Here is a 16,622-nt window from a genome sequence, read left to right as displayed (position 1 = left end):
CTGTAGGCCCAGCTACTCTAGAGGCTGAGGTGGGAGGATTGCTTGAGCCCGGGAGATTGAGGCTGCAGTGAGCTATGATGTACCATTGTACTCCAGCCTGGAGCAAAACCCTATCTCCCAAAAACAAACAAACAAACAAAAAACCTGGGACCTACAGAATGTTGTATAAGGTCCCAGAGTGGCTACAAACCCTTGTTCAGGTTGTAGACTGCACAACTGCAAGGATTACCATGCACTTTGCAATCTATGGGAATGATGCACTCTGGATTTATACAGCACACATTCTGTGTAGCTGAGCCTTAATGGTCCCGAATTTGCCTAAGGTCAACCAGCTATTTGGAGCTACTTGGAACTTGCAGCAGGGCCTTGACCCACGTCTCGTGGCTATTACACCACCCCAAGATGGCTCTCCACTCTGCCATATCACCCCTGAGATTGAGTTGAGCAGAGCTGCAAAGTATTATGTTGGTGCAAAAGTAATTGTGGTTTTGGCCCTTCTTTTCTTTTCTTTCTTTCTTTCTTTTTTTTTTTTTTCAGACAGTCTCGCTCTGTCGCACAGGCTGGAGTGCAGTGGTACGATCTCGGCTCACTGCAACCTCCGCCTCCTGGGTTCAAGCAGTTATCCAGCCTAAGCCTCCCAGGTAGCAGGGACTACAGGCACGCACAACCACACTCAGCTAATTTTTGCATTTTTTAATAGAGACGGGGTTTCGCCATGTTGGCCAGGCTGGTCTCGAACTCCTGACCCCAGGTGATCTGCCCACCTTGGCCTCCCAAAGTGCTGGATTATAGGCTTAAGCCATCACACTCAGCCCTTTTATTTATTTATTTATTTATTTTATTTTATTTTTTTTTTTTTTAAGATGGAGTCTCGCTCCGTCACCCAAGCTGGAGTGCAGTGGCGTGATCTCAGCTCATGCAACCTCCACCTCCCGGGTTCAAGCAATTCTTCAGCCTCAGCTGGGATTACGGGCACATGCCACCATGCTCAGCTAATTTTTGCATTTTTTAGTAGAGACAGAGTTTCACCATGTTGAGCAAGCTGGTCTCAAACTCCTGGTCTCAAGTGATCCTCCCACTTCGGCCTCCAAAGTGCTGGAATTACAGGCGTGAGCCGCCACACACAGCCTATTGGGGTTTATGTTGTTGTTGTTGTTGTTGTTGTTTTTAAGAGATGGGATATCACTCTGTCGCCTTCGCTGGAGTGCAGTGATGCAATTATAGCTCACTGCAGCCTCAAACTCCTGGGCTCAAGTGATCCTCTCACCTCAGCCTCCAGAGTAGCTGGGGCTACAGGCATGCATCACCATGCCCAGCTATTTTAAATTTTTTGTAGAGATGGGATCTCACTATGTGGCCCAGGCTGATCTCAAACTCCTTGCCTCAAGCAATCCTCCTGCCTTAATGTTCCAAAGTCCTGGAATTACAGGAGTGAGCCATCATGCTCGGCCTTCTGACCACTACTACTGAGAAAAAACTGTGAATATGTTTATTTTAAGGGCTGAATGACTAGCATCAATAGTTTGCCCCAGCAAGATTTGATTAGGAAAACTTAACCAGGCATCTGAAAATAAAAAGAAAGAAAGAAACTGTGTAATCCACAAACACTAATCCAAAGAGATAAAACTGGCTGGGCATGGTGGCTCACGACTGTAATCCCAGCACTTTGGGAGGCCAAGATGGGTAGATGACTTGAGGTCAAGAGTTTAAGGCCACCCTGACCAACATGGTAAAAGCCTGTCTCTACTAAAAATACAAAAATTAGCCAGGCATGGTGGTGCACACCTGTAATCCCAGCTACTCGGGAGGCTGAGGCAGGAGAATCACTTGAACCTGGGAGGTGAGGTTGCAGTGAGCTGAGATTGCAGCACTATACTCCAGCACGGGCAACAGAGCAAGACTCTGTCAAAAAAAAAAAAAAAAAAAAAAGGGCCAGGCACAGTGGCCCACACCTGTAATTCCAACACTTTGGGAGGCCGAGGTGGGTGGGTCACTTGAGGTCAGGAGTTCGAGACCAGCCTGGCCAACATGGTGAAACCCCGTCTCCACTAAAAATAAAAAAAATTAGCCGGGTGTGGTGTCGCATGCCTATAGTCCCAGCTACTCGGGAGGCTGAGGGAGGCAGGAGAATTGCTTGAACCTGGGTGGTGGAGGTTGCAGTGAGCTGAGATCGCACCACTGCACTCCAGCCTGGATGACAGAGTGAGATCCTGTCTCAAAACAAATAAATAAGTAAATAAATAATTTAAAAAAAAAAACTGGAAGTGGTATCTCCAGACATTAGGAGCCTTTTAATGCAATCCAATAGGAAAAACAAAAGCACCATCCACAAAGAATTTTGTAAAAAAAAAAAAAAAAAAAAAAAAAAAAAAGGCCAGGCATGGTAGCTCACGCCCGTAATCCCAGCACTTTGGGAGGCCGAGGTGGGTGGATCACTTGAAGTCAGGAGTTGGAGACCAGCCTGGCCAATGTGGTAAAACCCCATCTCCATCAAAAATACAAAAATTAGCCGGGCATGGTGGCATGTGCCTGTAATCCCAGCTACTCAGGAGGCTGAGGCAAGAGAATCACTTGAACCCGGGAGGTGGAGTTTGCAGTGAGCCAAGATCACGCCACTGCACTCCAGCCTGGGCGATAGAGCGAGACTCCATCTCAAAAAATAATAAGAATAAGAATAAATTATATATAAAACCTAAATCTAATCAAGCCTCTACCTCTAATCATCAATTTGTAGGAAATATATGGGGCAGAAGAGCAAGTTAAAAAATGCCATAAGAAAGCAATTAGCCAAGTCTAGATATAGGACATTCTATGGGCCACATGTCCTGGTTTCTCCAAACACCAAGGTCATGAAGAAAAAAACAGAGGTAGACTGATAGATTAAAAGGGACTTACTAAATGCAGCGTGGATTGGATCGCGGAATGGAAAAAGGACATTGCTGGAAAAACTGATGAAATCGAATAAATTCTGAAGCTTAGTTAACGGTAATGTTCCAATGTTAATTTCTGAGTTCTGACAGATGTACCACGGTTGTGTAAGATTTTAACATTAGAGAAAACTGGATGAAAGGTATACAAGAACACTCTGTACCAGCTTGTCTGTAATCTAAAATCATTCCAAAATAAAACGTTTATTTAAAAGAGAAAGACGGACTTCAAAAGTGTAACAGGCAAATGCAGTGGGTGGCTCTTGGTTGGATCCTGGGATGAACAAATCAATTGTGAAAATATATTTAAGACAATCAGGGAAGTTTGAACATGGACTGGATATTGGATGACAGTAAGGCATCATTGTTTATTTTATTAGGTGTGATAACAGCATGGTGGTTATGGGTTTTTAAAATGTCTATCTGGTAAACACATGTATTCACTGGTGAAATGATGTGATGTCTGGGATTTGTTTTAAAATACTCCAGAGGAGGCGGGGCGTGTTGGCTCATGCTTATAATCCCAGCACTTTGGGAGGCCGAGGCGGGTGGATCACCTGAGGTCAGGAGTTCGAGACCAGCCTGGCCAACATGGTGAAACCTCGACTCTACTAAAAATACAAAATTTAGCCAGGTGTGGTGTCAGGCACCTGTAATTCCAGCTACTTGGGATGCTGAAACAGGAGAATCACTTGAGCCTGGGAGGCAGAGATTGCAGTGAGCTGAGATAGCGCCCCTGCACTGCAGCCACTGCACCTGGCCCGTTTCTATCTTTAAAAAGAGAGAATTTGGCCAGGCGCGGTGGCTCACGCCTGTAATCCCAAGCACTTTGGGAGGCCGAGGTGGGCAGATCGCCTGAGTTCAGGAGTTCGAGACCAACCTGGCCAACATGGTGAAACCCTGTCCCTACCAAAAATACAAAAATTAGCCGGGCATGGTGGTGGGCGCCTGTAATCCCAGCTACTCGGGAAGCTGAGGCATGAGAATCACTCAAACCTGGGAGGCAGAGGTTGCAGTGAGCCGAGGTCATGCCACTGCACTCCAGACTGGGCAACAGAGGGAGACTCCATCTAAATAAATAAATAAATAAATAAATAGAATGTGAAATGCGATGTGCGAAGTACTTACAGCTGGGCATGGAACAGGGTAGGGACTTGAGTGTCAGTTGATATGATTACTGCTCATGCAGGTGGCTTTCTCTCACCTACCGCCTCCTCTTCCCACATCACAACAGCTTGATGACCCGAGTGTTACGTCTCTTTCCTCCCAGCCTGTCCTTGGATCCCTAACATGTCCCGTATGAATGGAAGAATCGCCTTGAGTCATTTGGCCACAGCAGTGCCTTTTAGCTTTCACATGCTTCTCAATTTCACATTAGATTCTCTTGTTTTCATGGTCTTTGTCAGAAACAATTTCATGAATCCCTTTCACAACATTTTGAAAGCCTTTGGTTGGGTCAAAGTGATCTCTTTTCAAATAAGAATTATTATTATTTTTTTTTGAGATGGAGTTTCGCTCTTATTGCCCAGGCTGGAGTGTAGTGGTGTGATCTCTGCCCACTGCAACCTCCACCTCCCGGGTTCAAGTGATTCTCCTGCCTCAGCCTCCCGAGTAGCTGGGATTACAGGCATGCACCACCACGCCTGGCAAATTTTTGTATTTTTAGTAGAGACAGGGTTTCACCATGTTGGCCAGGCTGGTCTCAAACTCCTAACCTCAGGTGACTCACCCACCTTGGCCTCCCAGAGTGCTGGGATTACCGGCATAAGCCACCATGCCTGGCCTCAAATAAGAATTTGCCAATCCTCTGTCTTTCCTTATAACTGGCTGGTGACAGACGTGAGGTGATGTTGAGCCTCACTTCCTCATTTCTCTGGGGACACAGGCCCGTCTGTTTGTCCTGTGGGGCTGGGTGCACTGTCCTGATGGCCATATAAGACAGTGCACACTGCTGATTTATGATCTGTTCCATGGATCTAATGCAGGGCCGGCGAGCCCTCAAGTGGAGCTTAGCCCACAAGTCTTCTTGGCTTTGCCCAGGAAAGACTTTTCAAGGACAAGCCAGAGGTAGAAGAAAACAGCTTTGTTTGAAGAGGCAGGGCTACCCTGTAGGCAGAGAGTAGCAGCTCAGAGCAATTCTGCAGTCATGTTTATACCCACTTTTTTTTTTTTTTGAGACCAAGTCTAGCTCTGTCGCCCAGGCTCGAGTGTAGTGGGAAACCCCGTCTCTACTAAAAATACAAAAATTCGCCGGGCGTGGTGGTGGGCGCCTGTAGTCCCAGCTACTCGGGAGGCTGAATCAGGAGAATCACTTGAACCGGGGAGGCGGAGGCTGCAGTGAGCCGAGATTGCACCACTGCACTCCAGCTTGGCCACAGAGTGACAGCCTGTCTCAAAAAAAAAAAAAAAAATATAGTGAGTATTGCCAGGCGCAGTGGCTCACACCTGTAATCCCAGCACTTTGGGAGGCCAAGGCGGGCAGATCACCTGAGGTTAGAAGTTCGAGACCAGCCTGACCAACATGGCGAAACCCTGTCTCTACTGAAAAAACACAAAATTACCTGGGTGTGGTGGCGCAGGCCTGTAATCCCAGCTACTGGGGAGGCTGAGGCAGGAGAATCGCTTGAACCCAGGAGATGGAGGTCGCAGTGAGCAGAGATTGCACCATTGCACTCCAGCCTGAGCAACAAGAGCAGAACTCCACCTCAAAAAAAAAAAAAAAAAGAAGGATTTAAAGGAATCCACCCCAAATAAATTAATCCTCATATGCACACACTAGCTATTTGCAGGGTAGGTATTTCGCTAGTCGGTTTACCTTTAATTGTACCACACAACACAATCAAGCCACTTCCTGGCTCTCCAGTGGTTCTAATTTGTAGTGCTCTTAAATGCCTTTCTTTGCAAGTTTGCATGCCTGCAGAGAAAGACTGGTTCATGAAACAGCATGCTATGCTGGAGCGCAGCCAGGTTTTCACAGTCATAAAAACCTAACATTGATGGGCCCCTTTCAACGTGCCAAAAGTTGAGCTGAGCACCTTGGATGAGTTAACGCATGTATCCTCCAAATAATTCCACAGGCCAGGTGGGGTGGCTCACTCCTGTAATCCCAGCACTTTGGGAGGCCAGTGTGGGAGGACCACCTGAGGTCAGGGATTCGAGACCAGCCTGGCCAACATGGTGAAACCCCATCTCTACTAAAAATACAAAAATTAGCTGGGTGTGTTGGGGGTTGCCTGTAATCCCAGCTAGTCAGGAGGCTGCGACACAACAATCGCTTGAACCTGGGAGGCGGAGGTTGCAGTGAGCTGAGATTGCGCCACTGCATTCCAGCCTGGGCGACAGAGTGAAAGACCATCTCAAAAAAAAAAAAAAAAAGGAATTCCACAAAGCGGGTGTTTTTTTGGTTTGTTTTTGGTTTTGGGGTTTTTTCGTTTGTTTTGTTTAGTTTTGTTTTGAGACAGAGTCTCCCTCTGTTGCCCAGGCTGGAGTGCAGTGGCGCGATCTCGACTCACTGCAACCTCCGCCTCCCAGGTTCAAGCGATTATTCTGCCTCAGCCTCCGGAGTAACTGGGATTACAGGCATGTGCCACCATGCCTAGCTAATTTTTTTGTATTTTTAGTAGAGATGGGGCTTCGCCGTGTTGGCCAGGCTGGTCCTGAACACCTGGCCTCAAGCGATCCGCCTGCCTCGGCCTCTCAAAGTGCCAAGATTACAAGCGTGAGCCACTGTGCCTGGCAAGGGTGTTGTTATTATGGCCATTTTACAGGCAGAAAAACTGAGGTCAAAGCACTTAAGTAACCAGTCCGGCATCACCCATCAGGGAAGTGGTGGAGCCAAGCTTTGAACTCAGGCCTTCTGGCTGCACAGATCCAAAGCCCATGTACCTTCATCACTGCCTCTCACAGCAACCCACCCAATGACAGCTGAAACAGCCACGCTCCAGCCTGAACTGTGAAGCTTTTCTGATAGCACTGAACTGATTGAATCAAGCCATTTTGTTATTGTTGCTGCTGCTGCTGTTGGGTTTATTTGTTTTGGGTTTTTTGTTTTGTTTTGTTTGTTTTCGAGAGAGTCTCATTCTGTCGCCCAGGCTGGAGTGCAGCGGCATAATCTCAGCTCACTGCAACCTCTGCCTCCCAGGTTCAAGCAATTCTCATGCCTCAGCCTCCCGAGTAACTGGGATTACAGGCATATGCCACCATGCCCGGCTAATTTTTGTATTTTTAGTACAGACGGGGCTTCACCATGTTGGTCAGGCTGGTCTCGAACTCCTGGCCTCAAACAATCCACCTGCCTCGGCCTCCCAAAGTGCTGGGGTAACAGGCATGAGCCACCGTGTTTGGTTTATTTGATTGGTGGTTGGTTGTTTTGCCTGAGTGAATTAATGTCTGGCTACCATGTGCCAAGTGTCTTCATATGATCTCACGTGATCTCATTTTATCTTCCCAATAATCCCATGACATATGGACGACTATTCCTGTTTTACAGAGGTTCAGACAAGACTTACATTCATAGGCTGGGCTCAGTGGCCCACACCTGTAATCGTAGCACTTTGGGAGGCCAAGGCAGGAGGATCACTTGAACCCAGGGGTTCAAGACCAGGCTGGACGACATAGCAAGATCCAGTCTCTATTTTTATTTTTATTTATTTATTCTGAGACAGAGTCTCACTCTGTCAACCAGGCTGGAGTGCATTGGCACAATCTCAGCTCACTGCAACCTCCACTTCCCAGGCTCAAGTGATTCTCCCACCTCCATCTTCCAAGTAGCTGGAACTACAGGGATTCATTACCATGCCTGGCTAATTTTTGCATTTTTCTGTAGAGACAGGGTTTTGCCACGTTGCCTAGGCTGGTCTCAAACTTGTGAGCTCAAGCAATCCTCCCACCTCCCAAAGTGCTACAATTACAGGCACAAGCCGCCTAGCCCAGGCCCATCTCTACTTTTTTTTTCTATTTTGAGACAGAGTTTCTCTTTTGTTGCCCAGGCTGGAGTGCAATGGCACAATCTCGGCTCACCGCAACCTCCGCCTCCCAGGTTCAAGCGATTCTCCTGCCTCAGCCTCCCGAGTAACTGAGATTACAGGCACATGCCACCACACCTGGCTAATTTTGTATTTTTAGTAGAGACAAGGTTTCTCTGCGTTGGTCAGGCTGGTCTCAAACTCTCGACCTCAGGTGATCCGCCTACCTCAGCCTCCCAAAGTGTTGAGATTACAGGCATGAGCCACTGCCCCCCGCCAAATCCCAGCTACTCGGTAGGCTGAGGCAGGAGAATTGCTTGAACCCGGGAGGTGGAGGTTGCAGTGAGCCGAGATTTCACCATTGCACTCTAGCCTGGGCAACAAGAGTGAAAACTCCATCTCAAAAAATAAAAATAAAAATAAAATATCAAAAGACTTATAGTTACCCTAAGTCACATTGGTAGTGTTTACACTGAACGAAACCCCTTCATTGGCAATGGCTACAGATGACGGCTTTCAGCTCATAGACTAGGGAACGTGACTTCCAGCCCCCATTTCCACCAAGAGATTTGAAGGGAACAGGCGGAGTCCGCGACAGAGCAGGGGACTCTCCCGGGGCAGGAAACAGCCTCCTGCTCCTGGTCGCATTGTCTTGTGCAGTCCTGACTTGCAGGCACCATGACTTGAGGAAAACCATCTTCCCTTCCAAAAACTGCTCTGGAGATTGATTAGATAACCGTGGCAAAGTGCTTTGAAGACAAGGGATGTAGGAAATGTTCTGTGTGGGTGGATTCCCAGGGCGCTTCAGACGAGATTAAGGCCCACGAATGGGTCTGCTCGGCTGGCCGGGATGCTTTGTGTGGAAAAGGAGTCTTTCCCAAAACATTTCTCCTAGAGGGGCTGCCAAAATCCGCCCAGCTCTGCTCCACACCCAAGCGTGTCTTCCTTCAGCGTGGCTGTCACATGACGAAAAGGAAACTTCTACACTCAGTTCAATTGTGGACTGGTCCATGTGATGTTGACATGCACTTAGATATCAAAGTGTGTCTTTGATGAGAAACAACTACTGAATGTTTTATTTGTGCCTGTATTTTTTAAAGTATTTTATTTGTAGAAAAAAATAAATAGAGATTAGGAGTGGTGGCTCACGCCTGTAATCTCAGCACTTTGGGAGGCCGAGGCAGGCTGATCACGATGTCAGGAGTTCGAGACCAGCCTGGCCAATATGGTGAAACCCCATCTCTACTAAAAATACAAAAATTAGTCAGCATAGTGGTGCACGCCTGTAGTCCCAGCTACTCAGGAGGCTAAGGCAGAAGAATCACTTGAACCTAGTGGGGAAGAGGTTGCAGTGAGCCGAGATCACACCACTGCACTCCAGCCTGGGAGACAGAGGGAGACTCTGTCTCAAAAAAAAAAAAAAAAAAAAAATTAGCCAGGTGTGGTGGCATGTGCCTGTAATCCCAGCTACTTGGGAGGCTGAGGCAGGAGAATCACTTGTACCTGGGAGACGGAGGTTGCAGTGAGCCAAGATCATGCCACTGCACTCCAACCTGGGCAACAAAGTGAGACTCCATCTCAAAAAATAAAATAAAATAAAATAAAATAAAAAACAGAGATCAGGTGCGGTGGCTCACGCCTGTAATCCCAGCACTTTGGGAGGCCGAGGCGGGCAGATCACCCAAGGTCAGGAGTTGAAGACCAGCCTGGCCAACATGGTGAAAACCCATCTCTACTAAAAATACAAAAATTAGCCAGCGTGAGGGTGCACATCTGTAGTCCCAGCTACTCGGGAGACTGAGGCAGGAGAATCGCTTGAACCTGAGAGGCAGAAATTGCAGTGAGCCGAGGTCACGCCATTGCACTCCAGCCTGGGCGACGGAGTGAAACTCCATCTCAAAAATAAAAAATAAAAATAAAATAAAACAGCTTTATATGAAGGCAGCAATTTTATTCAGGGGAGAAAAAGACTTTAGAATTATCCTGGTTAAATATCAGATTAAAGCCTGACTCAAGAAGGAGTAATGCGACCAATTTGAAATGGCATTAGGAAAGTAAGTGTTACTGGATATGGTGGCTCATGCCTATAACCCCAGCACTTTGGAAGGCCAACAGGAGGATCATTTGAGGTCAGGAGTTCAAGAACAGCCTGACCAACATGGTGAAATCCTGTCTGTACTAAAAATACAAAAATTAGGCTGGATACAGAGGCTGACGCCTGTAATCCCAGCACTTTGGGAGCCTGAGGCGGACAGATCACTAGAGGTCGGGAGTTCAAGACCAGCCTGACCAACATGGAGAAACCCCATCTCTACTAAAAATACAAAATTAGTCAGGCGTGGTGGCGCATGCCTGTAATTCCAGCTACTCGGGAGGCTGAGGCAGGAGAATTGCTTGAACCTGAGAGGTGGAGGTTGCAGTGAGCTGAGATCATGCCATTGCACTCCAGCCTGGGCAACAAGAGAGAAACTCCGTCTCGAAAAAATATATATATACAAAAATTAGTCGGGTGCAGTGGCAGGCACATGTAGTCCCAGCTACTCGGGAGGCTGAGGCAGAAGAAGCACCTACACCTGGGAGGCGGAGTTTGCAGTAAGCTGAGATCTCATCACTGCACTCCAGCCTGGGCGACAGAGTGTCTGTCTCAAATAAATAAATAAGTAAATAAATAAATAAATAAATAAATAAATAAATAAATAAAAGCAAGTCTTTCTGTGAATGTATAAAGTTGCAAGCCCAGTAATGCAGGTGCTCTAAGCAGTCCACAGGTGTGTCAGTCATTCCTGGGCACTATCAGATATAATTTTGTGTGCCTATAGGATCTCATTTGCCCTTGACCGTAAATGCAGTGTGGAGGGTATATCAAGACTTTTTAGGTCATGAGTGTAGTTGGACTTTGCAGCTGCCTGTTTCATGTACTGTAGCCTTCACTTTAAGCAGATAAAATATACAGAATTTTGAGCAAACTAAGTTGGAAAAGCAGGAAATCAGCTCACATTAGCAAGCACAAAATGGCTATATAAAAATAAATTTTAGGCCAGGCATGGTGGCTCATGCTGGGAGGCCGAGATGAGAGGATCACTTGAGGCCAAGAGTTGGAGACCAGCCTGGACAACTTAGGGAGACCTCATCTCTACAAAAAAATGTTTTTTAAAAAAATGGCCAGGCATAGTGGTGCACACCCTGTGGTTCTAGCCACTCGGGAAGTTGAAATGAGAAGATCATTTGCACCCAGGAGCTCGAGGATGCAGTAAGCTATGGTCTCGCCACTGCACTCCAGCCTGGGTGACACAGTGACACCCTGTCCCTAAAAGAAAAAAGAAATTTCAGCAGGCGTGCATCATATGTTAGAGACATTAATTTATCTGCAGTAAGTTAAACATGTAAGTGCTTTCTCCTGGGAGGGCAACGAAGGGAGGCAGAAAAAACCATAAAGTTTTAGTGCTCAAAAGATATAATCAATGTAGCGGGACAGCCCGGCGCAATGGCTCACGCCTGTAATCCCAGCACTTTGGGAGGCCAAGGCAGGTGGATCGCTTGAGTTCAGGAGTTCGAGACCATCCTGGGCAACATGGCAAAACCCCATCTCTACAAAAAATTTAAAAATTAGAGGCTGAGGCGGGCGGATCACGAGGTCAGGAGATCGAGACCATCCTGGCTAACACGGTGAAACCCCGTCTCTACTAAAAATACAAAAAAATTAGCCAGGCGTGGTGGCAGGTGCCTGTAGTCCCAGCTACTCGGGAGGCTGAGGCAGGAGAATGGCGTGAACCCGGGAAGTGGAGCTTAGAGTGAGCCGAGATTGCACCACTGCACTGCACTCCAGCCTGGGGGACAGAGTGAGACTCCATCTCGAAAAAATAAATAAATAAATTAGCTGGGCATGGTGGCATGTACCTGTGGGAGGCTGAGGCACAAGGACTGCTTGAACCTGGGAGGTGGAGGTTGCAATGAACTGAGATCATGCCACTGCACTCCAGTCTGGGTGGCAGAGACAGACCCTGTCTCAAAAAAAAAAAAAATGCAATGGGAAAATTCTGTGGGTGTGGAGACATTAGTCAAAAGCATCATGAGGCCGGTCATGGTGGTTCACGCCTGTAATCCCAGCACTTTGGGAGGCCAAGGCGGGCAGATCACCTGGGGTCGGGAGTTTAAGACCGGCCTGACCAACATGGAGAAACCCTGTCTCTACTAAAAATAAAAAATTAGCCAGGAGTGGTGGCACATGCCTGTAATCCCAGCTACTCAGGAGGTTGAGGCAGGAGAATCACTTGAACCCAGGAGGTAGCGGTTGCAGTGAGCAGAGATCGCGCCATTGTATTCCAGCTTGGGCAACAAGAGCGAAACTCCATCTCAAAAAAAAAAAAAAAAAAAAAAACGCATCACAAAAATATTCTAAAGGCCTATGAGTGCTATAAGTGATCACAGCTATCAGATATCAACCATCTGTCATGTGCCGGGAATTAGACTAAATAACTTGCATGCCTCATCACATTCAATCCTCGTAACAACCCTATAGGATTAGTTTTAGGATCCTCAGTTTAGTTTATTTTGTTTTATTTTATTTTTGTGAGAGTCTCACTCTATTGCCCAGGCTGGAGTGCAGTGACACGATCTTGGCTCACTACAACCTCTGCCTCCTGGATTCAAGCAATTCTAGGATCCCCATTTTAGTGAGAGAAAAACTGAGGCTTGGCTAATTTTATAATTTTTTTTTTTTTTTGAGAGGAAGTTTTGCTCTTGTCGCCCAGGCTGGAGAGTGCAGTGGTGCAACCTTGGCTCACTGTAACAGTTGCCTCCTGGGTTCAAGAGATTCTCCTGCCTCAGCCTCCCGAGTAGCTGGGATTACAGATGTGCACCACCACGCCCGGCTAATTTTTGTATTTTTAGTAGAGACGGGGTTTCACCATGTTGGCGAGGCTGGTCTTGAACTCCTGACCTTGTGATCTGCCCGCCAGCCTCAGCCTCCCAAAGTGCTAGGATTATAGGCGTGAGCCACTGTGCCAGGTCTAAACCTCTTTTCTTTATAAATTACCCAGTCTCAGGTATGTGGTTGTTTTTGTTTGTTTGTTTGTTTGTTTGTTTTGTTTTGTTTTGTTTTGAGACAGGGTCTCGCTCTTGTTGCCCAGGCTGGAGTGCAATGGTACAATCTCGGCTCACTGCAACCTCCACCTCCTGGGTTCAAGCGATTGTCCTGCCTCAGCCTCCCAAGTAGCTGGGATCACAGGCATCTGCCACCACACCTGGCTAACTTTTGTATTTTTAGTAGAGACGGGGTTTCACCATGTTTGCCAGGCTGGTCTTGAACTGCTGGCCTCGAGCGATCTGCCCGCCTTGGCCTCCCAAAGTTCTAGAATTACAGGTGTGAGCCACCACACCTGGCCTCACTCACCTACTTTCAAATTGTCTTACTCCAAAATCGGTACTCTTTCCATGGCACAACACCACCTCCCAAAATCCCTTCTACAGGACACGGCCAAATGCAGGCTATAGGCTCCTGGTCCAGCCATATCCCTGTTTCACTGCTTTGCCAAAAGCTTTATCTTCAGTTGGCTGGGAAATATTTTTTATATTGAAAGTATAGCTCAGGCTTTCTAATGAGAATTGATGAAAAGTTGATCATTTTTTGTCCTAAATTGATTTTGTCCATCATTGATTTTGTCCTAAACCAAACTTGCTGGACATCATCTCTGGCTACAGCTTTATTCCTTTTTTTAAATTAAAAAAAAAAAAAGATGACAGCATTCATAGGGGACAAAATATTTCCAGGTTACAAACCATCTGGTAAAATTCCTGTCTTCAAGAGTTGAACGGAAAAGGTTCAAATCCTCCCGCTGCAGGAGAAGGTAATTGAAGGGCATTTGATTCCCTTGAGTCACGGGAAACCCACAATTTATTCTTTAGTAATAAAAACTGCATGTGTAATCATTGAGACCGTGGAGGGTCAACTCAAAGACTTTATGGCTGGGGGTTATATTAAATCTTTTCAAAAATTTATAGAAGGGATTTGAAATATGTCAAACTTATTTCTTTAGGTTTTTTGCAAGAGAAAGATTTTATTGCATTGAATCACAGAAGGAGGAGAAAAATGACCGAGTTCACCCAGTTCTCACCCCCGCTAATGATCTATTGCTCACTTTACAATCAAAGCCTGGGTATTAAGCTGTCTGAAGTCAACCTCTTCTAATTAAAATGAAAGTCATAAAGCAAAAGTATTTCAATAATTTACAATAATCATCCCAAATGTATACAGCACATATATTGAAGAAATGTAACGCATTTCATATTTTTTATTTCTCTCACCTGGGCCAAAAACTAAAGGTTCTTGGCAAGATTAAGGGAACATTCATTAACTTAAATATTTATAGAGTAAATGAATATGTATGTGTTTCTATGTGTGTGTTATGAAGGGGAAGATGAAACTGACACTTCTTTTATCTTTTTTTTTTTTTCTTGAGATGGAGGCTTGCTCTGTTGCCCACGCTGGAGTGCAGTGGCACGATCACAGCTCACTGCAACCTCTGCCTCCCAGGTTCAAGCGATTCTCCTGCCTCAGCCTCCTGAGTAGCTGGGACTACAGGTGTGCACCACCACACCCGGCTAATTTTTGTATTTTTAGTAGAGACGGGATTTCACCATATTGGCCAGGCTGGTCTCGAACGCCTGACCTCAGGTGATCCACCCACCTCAGCCTCCCAAAGTGCTGGGATTACAGGCATGAGCCACCGCACCTGGCTTTATCTTACTTTTTTTGAGTCAGGGTCTCGTTCTGTTGCTGAGGCTACAGTGCAATGGCACGATCATGGCTCACTGCAGCCTCAAGCTTCTGGGCTCAAGCGATCCTCTCACCTCAGCCTCCCCAGTAGCTGGGACTACAGGCATTCCACCATACCTGGCTGAGTGTGTTTGTGTGTCTGTGTGTGTGTGTGTGTGTGTGTAGAGACAGGGTCTTTCTTATTGCCCAGGCTGGTCTCAAATGCCTGGTGTCAAGTGATCCTCCCACCTCAGTCTCCCAAAGTGCTGAGATTACATGCATGAGCCACTGCACTGGCCCAGAACCAACACTATTCAGCATCTGTGGTGTATCAGGCTTAGAGTTGTGATCAGTGGACCCAAACACCGATGAGACCCTTCAGTGAGGGCGTGTGTTGTTAAGATTTGTAGCACACAAACTACCTCCCAGTGCAATGAAGTAAACGCTGAGGTGAGGAAGCCTGGACTCTGGACCTGGCAAGAGGCACAACCATTACTGTACATAGAGGGGAAATGGCATCTTTACACATAGAAAGGAGAACCGGGCTGGGCGCGGCGGCTCACACTGTGATCCCAGCACTTTAGGAGGCCAAGGCGGGCGGATACCATGAGGTCAGGAGTTTGACACCAGCCTGGCCAACATGGTGAAGCCCTGTTGCTACTAAAAATACAAAAATTAGCCAGGCATGGTGGTATGCGCCTGTAATCCCAGCTACTCGGGAGGCTGAGGCAGGATAATCACTTGAACCGAGGAGGCAGAGGTTGCAGTGAGCCGAGATCTCGCCACTGCACTCCAGCATGGGCGACAGAGCAAGTCTCCATCTCAAAAAAAAAAAAAAACAGAAAAAAAGAAAAGAAAGGAGAACTGGAGCTGCTGAAAGCCCATGGTTCCCGCCTCCTCCCTGACATCAATTTAGGATACTCATCACTTCGCCTTACTGTAATAGCTCCATTTGCAAATGAAAATTAAACTGTACATGGGGGTGGGATCAGTGGCTCAGGCCTGTAATTCCGGCACTTTCAGAGGCTGAGGCGGGCAGATCAGAAAGGACTTGAGGTCAGGGGTTCAAGACCAACCCAGCCAACATGACAAAACCCCGTCTCTACTAAAAACACAAAAATTAGCTGCATGTGATGGCATGTGCCTGTAATCCCAGCTACTCAGGAGGCTGAGGCAGGAGAATCACTTGAACCCGGGAGGTGGAGTTTGCAGTGAGCCGAGATCACACCACTGCACTCCAGCCTGGGCGACAGAGCTAGACTCCATCTCAAAAAATAAAATAAATAAAATAAAATAAAAATAAAAATAATAATAAAAAAAAACCTGTGCATGGGAATGTGCATGGGAAAACACTTGACAAGCGGCACTCTGCAGGGTGGTCTCCCCATCTGGCCTAGAATCTACCAGGACGAAGGGACTGTGCAGAACCTCAAGTGATCCACCTGCCTCGGCCTCCCAAAGTGCTGGGATTACAGGCCTGGGCCACCGCGGCCAGCCAAGTAGTTCTTTTCAATACAAAGACTATGTAACTATGTTACCGAAGGTTAAAGATTTGATACGGGGTTGACTAGAAATTTTTGTCATTTCAGCCCTTTTATGGGCTAGCATATTTTGTACCGGCACTCTCGGCACATAGACATTTAATATCATGGCTTATCCAAAATTCTGACTTGACTCTGTATTTTCAGACTGACCTAACTGATTGAATTTAGCAGCAATGTTTCTAGACACCTGCACTGACTAAACGATTCCAGTCATCATCTCTTTGGTTTCTCCTAGGTCAGACGAATGATAGTGAGTGGTGAATCCTTTTACAGAAACCAGACTTTCACCTGATTTTTTCTGAGCTGTGCCACGGCAGTGATAAATCGGCTCCCAGGTGGACGGCCACAGTGATATCATGCCACAGTGATAAAGGAGTCAAGGCCTGGTTCCAAGGCCAGCTTGGCACTTGTATGGCCTGTCTGAGCTCTCGGG

This window comes from Homo sapiens, chromosome 7 (assembly GCF_000001405.40).
Source record: "Homo sapiens chromosome 7, GRCh38.p14 Primary Assembly".
NCBI lineage: Eukaryota > Metazoa > Chordata > Mammalia > Primates > Hominidae > Homo > Homo sapiens.
This window is presented reverse-complemented; position numbering follows the sequence as displayed.